Source organism: Homo sapiens, chromosome 3 (assembly GCF_000001405.40).
Source record: "Homo sapiens chromosome 3, GRCh38.p14 Primary Assembly".
NCBI lineage: Eukaryota > Metazoa > Chordata > Mammalia > Primates > Hominidae > Homo > Homo sapiens.
Window position 1 is genome coordinate 196,251,445 of NC_000003.12, and position 15,515 is coordinate 196,266,959.

General features: G+C 42.6%; 1 protein-coding gene across 2 annotated transcripts in view, besides 2 other annotated features; it reads right to left on the reverse strand.

Moving 5' to 3' along the window:
- Nucleotides 1-15,515, reverse strand: part of PCYT1A (phosphate cytidylyltransferase 1A, choline) — a 53,359-nt gene that overhangs the window by 17,077 nt on the left and 20,767 nt on the right. For both annotated transcript variants that reach the window (NM_001312673.2, NM_005017.4), the window contains one exon: nt 6,344-6,443. In NM_001312673.2, the coding sequence (NP_001299602.1) occupies nt 6,344-6,443 (100 nt within the window). The remainder of the gene's footprint in view (nt 1-6,343; nt 6,444-15,515) is intronic.
- Nucleotides 11,749-12,300: an enhancer, noted in NCBI's record as "H3K27ac-H3K4me1 hESC enhancer chr3:195990064-195990615 (GRCh37/hg19 assembly coordinates)". NCBI's record gives its function as "activates a minimal SCP1, AML or CMV promoter by ChIP-STARR-seq in naive H9 embryonic stem cells {active_cell/tissue: H9 hESC(naive)}" and the evidence as "EXISTENCE:reporter gene assay evidence [ECO:0000049][PMID:30033119]".
- Nucleotides 12,301-12,851: an enhancer, noted in NCBI's record as "H3K27ac-H3K4me1 hESC enhancer chr3:195990616-195991166 (GRCh37/hg19 assembly coordinates)". NCBI's record gives its function as "activates a minimal SCP1, AML or CMV promoter by ChIP-STARR-seq in naive H9 embryonic stem cells {active_cell/tissue: H9 hESC(naive)}" and the evidence as "EXISTENCE:reporter gene assay evidence [ECO:0000049][PMID:30033119]".

The following is a 15,515-nucleotide window of genomic DNA, read 5'->3' on the forward strand; positions in this document are numbered from 1 at the left end:
AGGTTTATGAATTTTTGTTTTCAAAAAGCTTTACTCATAAATAAGTAGATTTTAAACCAAGAAATCATACACTGCTGAAAGGAGTATCAGCAACTTTCAAGAAGGGCAATTAGGTCGTATCTATCAAAAGACAAACGACAAATGCTTATAGCTGTGGCCCAGCTTTTCTAATTCTGGGAATTATCTCACAGTAAATATAGATGTTATTCATTGCAGTACTGTTTATAATAGCAACAGTCAGGAAACGACCTACATTTCAACGGAAGATTGAATATAGCATAATACACCCACTAAAAGGTGGGAGGATATATAAACAATTTACTTAGATATTCACAGAAATGGGTAATATTGGTGGCCTGTTATAGGGATACCAGGTGGCTGTGAGACAGGTCTTGAGAGGGAGACATTTTACTTTATGCCCTTTTTGTATTTTATGGATATTAAACTGTGGGAATGTATTGATTTCACTTGATTTGATTTTTTGAGACAGGGTCTGGCTCTGTCACCCTGGCTGGAGTGCAGTGGCATGGTCTCAGATCACTGAAACCTCCACCTCCCAGGCTCAAATGATCCTCCCGCCTCAGCCTCCCGAGAAGCTGGGACTACAGCGCACACCACCACGCCCCGCTGACTACAGCGCACCCCGCCACGCCCCGCAGACTACAGCGCACCCCGCCACGCCCCACTGGCTACAGTGCACACCGCCACGCCCCACTGGCTACAGCGCACACCACTACGCTCAGCTGATTTTTGTATTTTTTGTACAGATGGGGTTTCACATGTTGCCCAAGCTAGTTGTATTTTTATTTATTTATTTATTTGAGATGGAGTCTTGCTCTGTTGCCCAGGCTGGAGTGTGGTGACATGATCTAGGCTCACTGCAACCTCTGCCTCCTGGGTTCAAGTGACTATCCTGCCTCAGCCTCCCAAGTCACTGGGATTACAGGCGAAAGCCACCAAGCCGGGATAATTTTTGTATTTTTATATTCGTATCCCATGTTGGCCAGGCTGGTCTCAATTTCCTGACCTCAAGTGATCTGCCCGCCTTGGCCTCCCGAAGTTCTGGGATTACGGGCGTGAGCCACCATGCCCAGCCCAGGCTGGTTGTATTGATTTTATAATACAGGAAATAAAAATTTTAAATTAAATATACCAATCCAATGAAAAACTAAGAATTAATTAATGGATTTAAGAGTCAGAAAGGTCATAGCTCAAGCTTTGACCAAGCTTTCCAACCAGCTTTCTTCCTCTGTAACCTTAACTTCCTTATGCCTCAGTTTTCTCATCTATGAGAGAAAGCAGGCTGGGTACAGTAGCTCACACCTGTAATTCCAGCACCTTGGGAGACCAAGGTAGGAGGACTGCTTGAGCCCAGGAGTCTGAGACCAGCCTGGGCAACACAGTGAAACCCTATCTCTATTAAAATTATTTTTTACTGCCAGCATGTGTCAACTAAAAAAAAAGAAGAAAAAAATATTTTTAAAAAGATAATTTTTAATAAGACAAAGCAAAATAAAACAAAATTTGAGCATATAATCCCCCTTCTATGTCCCAGAAATCACTGCATTGGCTCTATGCCTATTAAAAAATAATACATTAAAAAGATTTTTGGGCCGGGCACAGTGGCTCACGCCTGTAATCCCAGCACTTTGGGAGGCCAAGGCAGGTGGATCACCTGAGGTCAGCAGTTGAGGCCAGCCTGGCCAACATGGTGAAACCCTGTGTCTACTAAAAATACAAAAATTAGCTGGGTATGGTGGTGGGCGCCTGTAATCCCAGCTACTCGGGAGGCTGAGGCAGGAGAATCTCTTGAACCCAGGAGGCAGAGGTTGCAGTGAGCTGAGATCGCGCCACTGCACTCCAGCCTGCGAGACAGAGCAAGACTCTGTCTCAAAAAAAAAAAAAATTGAAGTATCCCAGAAGTCACGTCCATGAAGTAACTAACATAGTTCCATTTTCCCTAAACAAGTCCAGAGGGGCTATGATCTCACACTATTCGATCCTGAAACACAAGGGATAGAATATACAAATGAAGACTACTTTGTTGTTTCTTTGCTACTAGACAGCATACAGCAGGGAAATTTTGCTCAAGAAACACATTGCCTGGATGGTGGCAATAGCACAGAATGCTGTTGATCAAGTGGCTGCTTGCAGCACAGCTAATCATCCTATGTTAGGCCAAGTAGATCACTGAACCTTTTCTCAGACCAATCCCAGATGCGCCTCTTGCTCTCTCCAGTGCTTCCCCAGCCTACCAACATCTCAACTGGCCACCATTCCATCCCAAGTCTTTGGCAAACCCAGGCTGATATATTAACCAAACGGCCAGAAGGGGTCACTGTTGAACTAGTCTGGGAAGAAAGCTAGCGTTAGCCATTCTTTTACCAAGTGGCTATTGGCCAGGATAAACACACCCCTGATTTAATGTATGTTATAGTATATATAATCATATTTATATAAATTATATACTTTTAATATAATTTTTCCTGTTTCTATTATATAATGTACTATATAATACATATTTAATATCATTTATATATTATGCATATATTACATATGTATATATGTTATATAGATAGATAGATAGATTTTTTTTTTTTGAGACGGAGTCTCACTCTGTCGCCCAGGCTAGAGTGCAGTGACGTGACCTAGGCTCACTGCAACCTCTGCCTCCCAGGCTCAAGTGATTCTCCTGTCTCAGCCTCCTGAATAGCTGGGATTACAGGTGTGTGCCACCACGCCTGGCTAATTTTTTATATTTTTAGTAGAGACGGGGTTTCACCATGTTAGCCAGGATGGTCTCGATCTCCTGACCTTATGATCCACCCACCTCAGCTTTCCAAAGTGCTGGGATTACAGGTGTGAGTCACTGTACCTGGCCTATATATATATTTTTTTAATTTTTATTTATGTATTTATTTATTTTTTAAGATAGGGTCTCTGTCACCCAGGCTGAAGTGCAGTGGTGCAATCATGACTTGCCGTGGTCTAGACCTCCTGGGCTCAAACAATCCTCTCACCTCAGCCTCCTGAGTGGCTGGGACTATAGATGCACACCACCACACCTGGCTAATTATTAAAATTTTTGTAGAGATGGGATCTCACTGTATTGCCCAGGCTGGCCTTGAATTCCTAGCCTCAAGCAATCCTTCTGCCTTGGCCTCCCAAAGTGCTGGGATTATAGGCATGAGCCACCACACTCAACCTCTGTATATTATTAACAGCAACTCCCTTTCATGCTCAAAACCGTCCTGATTTGGATGATAAATTATATGGTTTATGTGGGTTATGAATTATACGCTGCACCACTGGTGACTAAGTAACCATATGTCCTCCTTTAGGCAGAAGAAACCTGGGTTTCAGTTAATGATCTCTTTTGATAGATTTACTCTCCCAAATACCTACCACCGAAACATTCTGTTCCTAACATTTCCATTGCCCTTCACACTCTCCCTTTTCCTTCCTTTCTCTGAGTTAAACATATTGCTGATTTTTTTCATCTCCCAAAAGATTCCTAGAGCTGACCTTCTTGTCTCTCAAATCATATTTGTTTTTCTCTAAGTAGAGAATCTTCTCCTAGATTATACAACCTCCCTCGTAAAAACCTGGGGAGCAGGAGGGAGGTGTTGAAACTTCACTAGAGCAGGTGCATTCTTTATTGCTTTATTCCTTGTCCTGCACTGGCATGAATGCAGTTACCTACTTGGTGATTTAACATAAAACAGTCAGACAAAATGAGATCTAAGAGAAAAACCAGAGTTCAAATTAAGCTGGCAAATTTATAGGCTAATTTGTGGCTGTTTGTTCCACCAAAAATACAATTATTTTGCTGAAGGCCTTCTATTCTAATGCTTACAATGAGTAGCACCATTCCCGGGTGAGGTTTGAGCTGCAATTCTATTCCACTAATCATCCGTTTTACTGTAGGGGAAGCCTTCGCTTCTTGGTTACTATGGACCTTAATTGCTTTATGTACTTAATGAAGAAACTATAAAGTAGATAATCTTGAAAATGACTTATTTGTAAAATCCTATAATTCTAAAATTAAAAACAATTATACCAGTCAGGACTTGTTAATTATAAGCTTTAAAACTTGGAAACAGGCCCGGCACGGTGGCTCACTCCTGTAATCCCAGCTACTTGGGAGGCTGAGATTTGAGAACTGCTTGAACCCAGAAGGGAAATGTTGCAGTGAGCTGAGATCACACCACCGCACTCCAGCCTGGTTGACAAGCGAGACTCTGTCTCAAAAACAAAACAAAACAAAAGATCAACTTGGAAACAGTACACATATTTTCAAATTTTATGTACCACAAATGATATATAGACAAATTAGCAACAAACTGGATAATGCAACCCATCAGATCAAATCTAAATGAATAGCTGATTGTAAATGTGTGTCATTAGAGAGTATGTAAAAAGTTCTTGCTTTCAATAGCCTCTACTATCACATCTGAATGTGAACCCTGAACTATCTTCTGGCGTTTTGAAGTTAGACCTGGCTACCATTACACAATCCATAGTCTCTGGTTTTCTTTGTCATTTTACCCTGCCTCCAGGAGCCTACCTATTACCCAAATAAGGGAAGCCAAACTCAAAAATCTTATCATGAATCAGAAGGTTGTGATCAATATGAACTATATCTACACATTTTTTCAAAAGGAAAGGATTCTCTGGAATTAGCCTCTTTTTTGTTGAGGACCCCAAACCCACAATACATATACCCAAGATAAGGCCAAAGGATAGGTGTTAAAATTCCCGGCATTGGCCGGCGCGGTGGCTCACGCCTGCAATCCCAGCACTTTGGGAGGCTGAGGTGGGTGGATCACGAGGTCAGGAGTTCGAGGCCAGCCTGGCCAACATGGTGAAACCCCGTCTCTACTAAAAATACAAAAATTAGCCAGGCGTGGTGGTGCACACCTGTAATCCCAGCTACTCGGGAGGCTGGGGCAGAAGAATTGCTTGAACCCGGGAGGAGGAGGTTGCACTGAGCCAAGATTGTGCCACTGCATGCCAGCCTGGGCAACAGAGTGAGACTCTGCCTCAAAAGAAAAAAAAATTTCCCAGTATGACACTGTACATCACTTCTATTTGTTTTTTGTTTGTTTGTTTTGAGACAGGGTCTCGCTCTGTCACCCAGGCTGGAGTACAGTGGCATGATCTCAGCTCACTGCAATCTCTGCCTCCCAGGTTCACATAATTCTCGTGCCTTAGCCTCCCGAGTAGCTGGGACTACAGGTGCCCACCACCACGCCCAGCTAACTTTTGTATTTTTAGTAGAGAAGGGGTTTCACCATGTTAACCAGGCTGGTCTCGAACTCCTGACATCAAGTGATGATCTGCCCGCCTTGGTGTCCAAAGTGCTGGGATTACAGGTGTGAGCCACCACTCCTGGCCCACTTCTATTTGTATTTCACTGTTCTTCAGTTACTACAGAGAGCAAACATACCAACACAATTAAGAAGTAACCACAAATATACTGTATATGCTGCAAATGCACAGATTTGTGGCTATAAATCCCTCTTATTCCCTGGTGTCTGTCTGAGTCTTAGTTCAGTCCTATATTTACAGGGTAGAGAGAACACTTAGTAATCAGAAGAAGTGAAAAAGGATTGGAAAAAAAGGGAGAATTGGGGAATTTACAGAGAAGAAAGAATATTTGCCTATAGGACTTTGTATTCATAACAAATGCTCTTGGAAGTTTCTTTTTATAATGATCTCTAAAACCAATTGCCCCACATAAGAAAAGCATCTCGAATATATATTAGTAATTTATGTGTCAAAAACTGCTAATTAATTATGTAAATTAAGCATGCAAATAAAGAGCAAGGGCTTTGAAAATAAAGTATTTTTTAAAACCTGGAAAATTATAATATCAGTAAAAATAAAATTAAGTGACGAGCATCTCCCAACTTGGGATATTTTTGTCCTCTATCAATCGGCAGCATCATAGCCAGCTGACAGAACGTAGAGAGGTGGTGGGGAATTCTGAAGGCTATGAAGAATGTGACACCCTGACACATGATTTGGACTTTATAGAAATAGATAAGATCATAACTCAGCTCAAGCTAATATAATATCATATTGTTTCTGTTTTACTGTATCTCACAGCTACAACAGCAGCCCAGGAAACAGGTGCATAATAATAAGAAAAAAAATGAAAGTTTATGGAGTGGAGTTACCCTTCTAAATAGAACATCAAGACAGGTGAGAAGAACCCCTTCGCTGCTGGCCTTTGCAAGTAAACAGAGGGCAGTATATAGAGAGCAGGTGTGTATTTGATAAAGACAATGGAATGCTAAAAACAATAGTCAAACAACAAATTAAGAAGGTATTTACTTACAAGGAGTTCCTCTGCTGGCTTCTTCCATAGTTACCCTGACATAGGGCTTACTAAAGTCAACTTCAATTTCATCAGAAAAAGGAGCTGGTTGCCGTAAGCCCTTAAGAAATGGAAAGTGAAGGAAAAGAAAGTTCAACTCAATGGCATACACTGTAATACTAAAAAAAAAAAAGATGAGAGAAAGGAGATTGATCTCTCTATTATAGATGGCTTCGTTTAAGAGATTTCGTTATTCCCGCCTGTAATCCCAGCACTTTGGGAGGCCGAGGTGGGTGGATCATGAGGTCAGGAGATTGAGACAATCCTGGCTAACATGGTGAAACCAGGTCTCTACTAAAGATACAGAAAATTAGCCTGGTGTGGTGGCAGGCACCTGTAATCCCAGCTACTCAGGAGGCTGAGGCAGGAGAATCGCTTGAACCCGGGAGGCAGAGGTTGCAGTGAGCCAAGATCAGACCATTGCACTCCAGCCTAGCCCACAGGGCAAGACTCCACCTCAAAAAAAAAAAAAAAAGAGTTTTTGTTATTCCTATGTATTTTATTCTACTTGATGCTGTTGTGAATGGAATTGTTTTCTGAATTTTATTTTTGGATTGTTCCTTGATATTATGTAACAGTGCAATTGATTTGTATTTGTGTTTGTGTAACTGAAATTTTCTGTATATTGATCTTATGTCCTATAACTTTGCTAAAGTTAATTATCAGTTCTAGTATCCGTTGTTGTTTCATGGATTCCTTAGCATTTTCTACATATAATATCATGTCATCTGTGAATATAGTTTTGCTTATTCTTTTCCAATCTGGATTTTTTTTTTTTTTTGAGAGGGTCCAGCTCTGTTGCCCAGGCTGGAGTGCACTGGCGCCATTTCAGCTCACTGCAACCTCCAACTCCCCGACTCAAGTGATCCTCCCACCTCAGCCTCCCGAGTAGCTGGGACTACAGGCATACACTACCCGACACCCAGCTGATTTTTTATTCTTGTAGAGACAAGGTCTCACTACGTGCCTAGGCTGGTCTCAAACTCCTGGCCTCAAGCAATCATTCCACCTTGGCCTCCCAAAGTGCTGGGATTACAGGCGTGAGCCACCGTGCCCAGCCTCTGGCCTGGGATTTTTAACTATAGTTTGTTTCTTGTGATGTTTATGTCTGGCTTTGATATCTGGCCTCACAAAATAAGTTGTGAAGTGTTCTCTTTACCTTATTTTTGTGTAAGATTCGTATTATTTATTCCTTAAATGTTTTTGTGGTTTTTGTAAAGACACTCTGTCACCGAGGCTAGAGTGCAGCGGCACGATCATAGCTCTCTGCAGCCTCCAACTCTGGGGCTCAAGCAATTCTCTCACCTCAGCTTCCCTAATAGCTGGGACTACAGGCATGCACCACCACACCCAGCTAATTTTTTAACTTTGGGCCTGGACCTGTCTTTGTGAGAAGATTTTTAATGACTAATTCCTTTTTTTTCTTTTTTAACTTGATATAAGTCTATTAAGATTTTCTCCTTTGTCTTGGTTAGTTTTTGCAACTTGTCTCTTTCTAGGAAATTGTCTATTACATTTAAATTGTCAAATTTTTGGCATGAAATTGCTCCCTTATAATCCTTCTAATTTCTGTATGGCTGCAGTGATGTTCCGTTCTAAAAAGATCGTATCATGATTGGGCTGAATCCAGAGACTGGGAAGATACTGTTTTGTTTTCAGGTAAGTGTAGATTTTCAAAATTGTTTTAACATTAAAACACGTTTTTTTTGTTTGTTTGTTTGTTTTGTTTTGTTTTGGCCAGGTGCAGTAGCTCATGCCTGTAATCCCAGCACTTTGGGAGGCCCAGGCTGGTGGATTGCTTGAGCCCAGGAGTTCAAGACCAGCCTGGGCAACATGACGAAACCCTGTCTCTACAAAAAAATACAAACATTAGCTGGGCGTGGTGACACATGCCTGTAGTCCCAGTTACTTGGGAAGCTGAGGTGGGAGGACTGCTTGAGCCAGGGAGGCAGGGGTTACAGTGAGCTGAGATTGCCCCACTGCACTCCAGCCTGGGCAACAGAGCAAGACCCTGTCTCAAAAAAAAAAAAATCACTTATATAAGTTTAGTTTAAGATATACTTAATGATATAAATGGAAACATTCTTTTTTTTTTTTTTTTTTTTTTTTTTTTTGAGGCAAAGTCTTGCTCTGTCGCCCAGGCTGGAGTGCAGTGGTGTGAACTCAGCTCACTGCAACCTCCACCTCTCAGGTTCAAGCGATTCTCATGCCTCAGCCTCCCAACTAGCTGGGATTGCAGGCATGCACCACCACACCTGGCTGATTTTTGGATTTTTAGTAGAGACAGGGTTTCACCATGTCGGCCAGGCTGGTCTTGAACTCCTGGCCTCAAGTGATCCACCCGCTTCGGCCTCCTAAAGTGCTGGAATTACAGGCTTGAGCCACCATGCCCAGCCAAGACATTCATTTTTAGATGTGTATGTGTTATTCTTCTTTGAAATACTTTTAAAAATAGAACCAAGGACCTAGATATTAATCAAAAACACAAGGAAATACTACTTCATATCAACCAGGATGGCTATGAGCAAAAAGACAGGCAATAACAAACAGTCTTGGTAAGGATGTGAAGAAGTTAGAACCATCATACATTGCTACTGTGAATATAAAATAATGTGCAGCTTTGGAAAACAGTTCTTCAAAATGTTAAACATAGAATTACCATATGACCCAGAAATTATACTGCTAGGTATATACCCAAGATAACTGAAAACATATATTAAGAAAAAAACAACTATGTCAGGCACGGTAACTCACGCCTGTAATCCCAGCACTTTGGGAGGCCGAGGCGGGTAGACCACCTAGGTCGGGAGTTCGAGACCAGCCTGGCCAGCATGGTAAAATCCCATCTCTACTAAAAATACAAAACTTAGCCAGGTGGCGTGGTGCATGCCTGCAATCCCAGCTACTTGGGAGGCTGAGGCAGAAGAATCACTTGAACCCAGGAGGTGGAGGTTGCAGTGAGCTGAGATTGTGCTACCGTACTCGTCTGGGAGATAGAGAAAGACTCTGCCTCAAAAAAACAAAACAAAACAAAAACAAAAACAAAAAACTTATACATGAAAAATGTTCACACTTGCATTACTCGTAATAGCCAAAAAGTAGAAACAACCCAAATGTCCATCAATGAATGGATAAACAAATGGTATGTCCACACAATGGAATATTATTTACCCATAAAAAGGAATAAAGTACTGATACATGCTACCACTTGGATGGATCTTGAAAACATTATGCCAAAAAAGGAAGTCGGACACAAAAGTCCACAAGTTGTATGATTTCATTTACATTAGATGTTCAGACTAGGCAAAGCTGTAGAGACAGAAAGCAGATTAGTGGTTGCCAGGAGGTAGCTGGAGGGGTAATAGGGAGTGACTGCTAATGAATACAGGGGGTTTCTTTTTGTGGTGATGAAATGTTCTGGAATTAGATGGTTGTGATGGTTGTACAACAGTATGACTAGACTATAAACTACTGACTTATATACTTTAAAATGGTTAAAATAGTGAATTTTATGTTATGTGAATTTTACCCAAATTTTAAAAGATACATTGGCCAGGTGTGGTGGCTCACACCTGTAATCCCAGCACTGGGAGGCCGAGGCAGGCAGATCATGAGGTCAGGAGTTCGAGACCATCCTGACTAACACGGTGAAACCCCGTCACTACTAAAAATACAAAAATTAGCCAGGCGCAGTGGTGGGCGCCTGTAATACCAGCACTTTGGGAGGCCGAGGCGGGTAGACCACCTTAGGTCGGGAGTTCGAGACCAGCCTGGCCAGCATGGTAAAATCCCATCTCTACTAAAAATACAAAACTTAGCCAGGTGGGGTGGTGCATGCCTGCAATCCCAGCTACTCGGGAGGCTGAGGCAGGAGAATTGCTTGAACTCGGGATGCGGAGGTTGCAGTGAGCCGAGATCACGCCACTGCACTCCAGCCTGGGCAGTGGAGCAAAACTCCATCTCAAAAAAAAAAAAAAAGAGATATTTTAAGTATCTTATCTTTCACAACTGTTTCTTCAGTCTTTCTCACATACTGTGTATATTTCCAGGTAGAAGACAAATACAGCTGTCCTTCCTGGCTGGGGTTTAGGCTGAATCCGTTTCTCCTAAGTATAGGGAGTGAAACCTAACGTTGTGCAGCTATAACAAAGCAGCAAAATCTTTTTTTCTAGAGTTGTTTCCAGCTAGAAAAGGTAGTATTTTTTTAAAACACTGTGTTATTCTCAAAGAACAGTGTCTCTAGAAGCTGAGGTTTATAAAAGTAGGACTAAATATTTCTGTGTTCTCCTAAAACACATCTCCTTCATTTTAACCTCAAGGGAATGCCACAGTATCGCTTTCAAGTCTTAAGACTATCTGGTAGTGAGGTATAAATGAAAGAACATGGGGTTAGGACTTGGAAAATTTAGATCTAAATCCCAACTCTATCATTTAATACCTGTGAAATCACAGCAAGTTTCTAAAGCTTTCATTTCATCTTCTACAAAATAGAAAACAACAATACCTGCCCTACAAGTTTACTATGAGGATTAAACAAAGTAGCATCCGCAAAGTAATTAGCATAATGTTTCACAAAAGTAGGCACTCGACGAATTTGTCGTTAGCTCATTTCCTCTTGTATTCTATAGAACACAGATTTCAGCATGCTAACAAAATTAACTCCTATTAATCTAAGAGGTTAGCTTCTAAAATGCTATATAAACTTTCCAAATGCATGCATCTAAAAGTTATAATGGAAATCAACAGTCCCCAAATTATGAATTGTCTCTGAATGCAATATTGCTTCCATAACAACTTTTTCCAGACTATATTCACACACATTATTTCACTATTCCTTAAAATTTCAGTGAAAACAAGAGATTCTGGCATCCACACTAACAGGAAAATGGACATAATTCAAATAATATAGACTAGAACTTGATATTGTCTTCCCAGTACACTTTTTACTTTCTAAGGATTCTTTTTTTTTTTTTTTGGCTTTTTTTTGTGAGACAGTCTCACCCTGTCGCCCAGGCTAGAGTGCAGTGGCGCGATCTCAGCTCACTGCAACCTCTGCCGCCCAGGATCAAGCGATTCTCCTGCCTCAGCCTCCCGAGTAGCTGGGATTACAGGCACCCACCACTGCGCCTGCTTAATTTTTTTAGTTTTAGTAGAGACAGGGTTTCGCGATGTTGGCCAGGCTGGTTTTGAACTCCCGACCTCATGATCCACCCGCCTCGGCCTCCCAAAGTGCTGGGATTACAGGCGTGAGCCACCGCATCCAACTCTAAGGATTCTTAAATATTTTTCAGCAAAAAGTTTCTGAATGCCACAGAAAAACATTTATTTCCCTTTCACCCAAACATTCTGTATTAATGATAAAGGGTCCTCCCGAGATCCCAATTGTTTCTATTTTTTTTATTTTTTAAGAGACAGGGTCTCACTGTTGCCCAGGTTGGAATGCAGCAGTGCGATCCATACCTCACTATAACCTTGACTTCCTAAGCTCAAGAGATCCTCCTGCCTCATCTTCCTGAGCAGCTAGGACCACAGGGGCACATCACCATATCCAGTTAATTTTTCCATTTTTTTTGTAGGGACAGTGTCTCTCTATAATGCATTGCCCAGGCTGGTCTCAAATTCCTGGCCTCAAGGGATCCTTCCACCTCCCAAGGCGCTTGGATTTTAGGCATGAGCCACTGTGCTTGGCCCAATTCTTTCAATAATGCCACGGGAAACGCTACAGAGTCAAGAGGAATACCATGTGGTATGAGAAAGAAGGGACAAAGAACAGAGCTGAAAGATTCCACCCCCCGGGGATCTGTTTTTTTGTTTTGTTTTGTTTTGAGACAGAGTCTTGCTCTGTCGCCAGGCTGGAGTACAGTGGCGCGATCTCGGCTCACTGCAAGCTCCACCTCCAGGGTTCAAGCAATTCTCCTGCCTCAGCCTCCGGAGTAGCTGGGACTACAGGCACCCACCACCACGCCCGGCTAATTTTTGTGACTTTTAGTAGAGACGGGGTTTCACCATGTTGGCCAGGATGGTCTCGATCACTTGACCTCGTGATCCACCCTCCTCGGCCTCCCAAAGTGTTGGGATTACGGGCATGAGCCACTGCGCCCAGCCAGGATCTGGTTTTAAAAATGAAAGAAAAGCAATCATTCTCCCTGACTCCTATTGCCATTTCAGTGAATGTAAACAATGAGCTCATCTGTCCAATTACTATTTGGATGTCTTATAGGCCCTCTAAATTGAACCTGTACTAAGTTAAACTCTTTGTCTTCCTCCTAAACCTGCTTTTCCTCCTGGTATTTCTTATCTCAATGGGAAGTACCCCATCTACACAACGTACCTAAGACTGAAACCTAGGAGTCACTCTTAACACCTTTTGTCCTTCATATCTCAGTAATCTCCAAGAACTGTCCATTTTACATCTTTTTTAAAAATTACAATTTTAATTTAAAATAGAGACAGGGTCTCCCTATATTGCCCAGGCTGCTCTCAAACTCCTGGGCTCAAGGGATCCTCCCACCTTGGCCTCCTGAAGGGCTGCGATTACAGGCGTGAAGCCACCATGCCCAGCCGATTTTACCTTCTAGAAATGTGCAAAGTTTATCTCGCACTCTCTGTACCTAATGTCATAGTTTAAGCCCTACTTCATGATTCTGAACTTGTACCCCATCTCTTGTTCATTTCTTGAATTCCTTGTATCCTTCAAAGTTCAGCTCAGAAATAACCCTTTTGATGACGCTTTTCCCAAACCACTGCCCCTACCTCTTGGTCAAAGTCAGTCTCTTGCTTCTCAAGATTATTTTGGTTGAAATGAGATTGGGAGGCCTATACTTAGCCATAAGCAGAACTATGGCCATCCTGACCCACCAACCCAGGCATCTAATACCTGGTATCCTTCCTACTCCTTTTTTCTCAAGAGATTGACTTTGTAACTTCCGTCTATTTGGCACTTTTCATACGTATCATAATTTCATACTGTATCATAATTATTTGCTGCTGTTTCTTTCTCTTTTTTGTCTGTGAGTTTTCCAAGGGCAAGGTCATCTTTTCATCCTTGCATCTCCAATGCAACTGGCAAGTAGAGGTTCTCGAAACATTTTGGTTGAAATGAGATTGTGAGGCCTACTTTGCCATAAGCAGAACTATGGCCAATTTCCCCCACAGTTTAGATACTTCATGACTCATTCATACATATGATATTCTTTGTAAGTTATTTTATTTTATTTATTATTATTTTTATTTTATTTATTTATTTATTTTTTTTGAGACAGAGTCTCGCTTTGTTGCCCAGGCTGGAGTGCAGTGGTGTGATCTCAGCTCACTGCAACCTCTGCCTCCTGGGTTCAAGCCATTCTCCTGCCTCAGTCTCCTGAGTAGCTGGGATTACAGGCGCACATCACCATGCCCAGCTAATTTTTTTTTGTATTTTTAGTAGAAACGGGGTTTCGCCATGTTGGCCAGGCTGGTCTCAAACTCCTGACCTCGTGATCTGCCCTTCTCGGCCTCCCAAAGTGCTAAGATTACAGGCGTGAGCCACTTGCGCCCAGCCTGATATATATTAAGATAAGCTAAACGTCTTATGTTTTGTAAATACTTTTGTGATCCTTTTGATTGAACCTTTAGAAACATCTGTATCAATAAATGATTTATACTTATCGACAAAATAGCCATAAAGTTTTTCCTAGTTTTTCCTTCTTAACTCCTTTGTCTCTTTTCTATCCATTTCATCCTGACCCACCAACCCAGGTATCTACTACTTGGTGATCCTTCCTATTCCTTTCTTTACATGCAAGGAAAGTACTTTTTCTAAAGCTAATGAGCTCCACCGGGTGTGGTGGCTCACGCCTGTCATCTCAGCACTTAGGGAGGCAGAGGTGGGCGGATAGCTTGAGCCCAGGGCAACAGAGCAAGTCCCCCTACCCTTTTTTTTTCTTTTTTGAGACGGAGTCTCGCTCTGTCGCCCAAGCTGGAGTGCAGTGGCGCGATCTCAGCTCACTTGCAAACTCCGCCTCCTGGGTTCACGCCATTCTCCTGCTTCAGCCTCCTGAGTAGCTGGGACTACAGGCGCCCACCACTGCGCCCAGCTAATTTTTGTATTTTTAGTAGAGACGAGGTTTCGTCATGTTGGCCAGACTGGTCTCGAACTCCTGACCTCAGGTGATCCGCCCACCTCAGCCTCCCGAAGTGCTGGGATGACAGGCGTGAGCCACTGTGCCTGGCCTGCAAGTGCCCATTAAAAAAAAATAAATAAACTAATGAGCTCTAGGCTATAGAATTCTACTCTATGCTCACATCTCATAAAAGGAAGGTCTTGTTTATCTTTACACGTCTACCACCTACTGCCATACTAGCGCATTGTAAATATGCAATAAAGGCCAGGTGCAGTAGCTCACGCCTGTAATCCCAGCACTTTGGGAGGTCGAGGCGGGCGGATCACGAGGTCAAGAGATCGAGACCATCCTGGCTAACACGGTGAAACCCCGTCTCTACTAAAAAATACAAAAAATTAGCCAGGCTTGGTGGCGGGCGCCTGTAGTCCCAGCCACTCGGGAGGCTGAGGCAGGAAAATGGCGTGAACCCAGGAGGCGGAGCTTGCAGTGAGCCGAGATCAGGCCACTGCACTCCAGCCTGGGCGACAGAGCAAGACTCCATCTCAAAAAAATAAATAAATAAAAATGCAAGAAAATCTTGCTTACTCAACCCAAATGTCAACTGGAGAATGAATAACTAAAAAGTAGTATGTGATATATGATGGAATGTTATTTGTCAATAAAAAAAAAATGAAGTACTGGCCGGACGTGGTGGCCCACACCTGTAATCCCAGCACTTCGGGAGGTTGAGGTGGGCGGATCACTTGAGGTCAGAAGTTTGAAACCAGCCTGAGCAACATGGTAAAACCCCATCTCTACTAAAAATACAAAAATTAGCCAGGCGTGGTGGCGGCGCATGCCTGTAGTCCCAGTTACTCAGGAGGCTAAGGCAGGAGAATCACTTGAACCTGGGAGGCCGAGATCACACCGCTGCATTCCAGCCTGGGCAACAGAGTGAGACTCTGTCTCAAAAAAAAAAATTGCCGGGCACGGTGGCTCACGCCTATAATCCCAGTACTTTGGGAGGCCGAGGCGGGCGGATTACCTGAGGT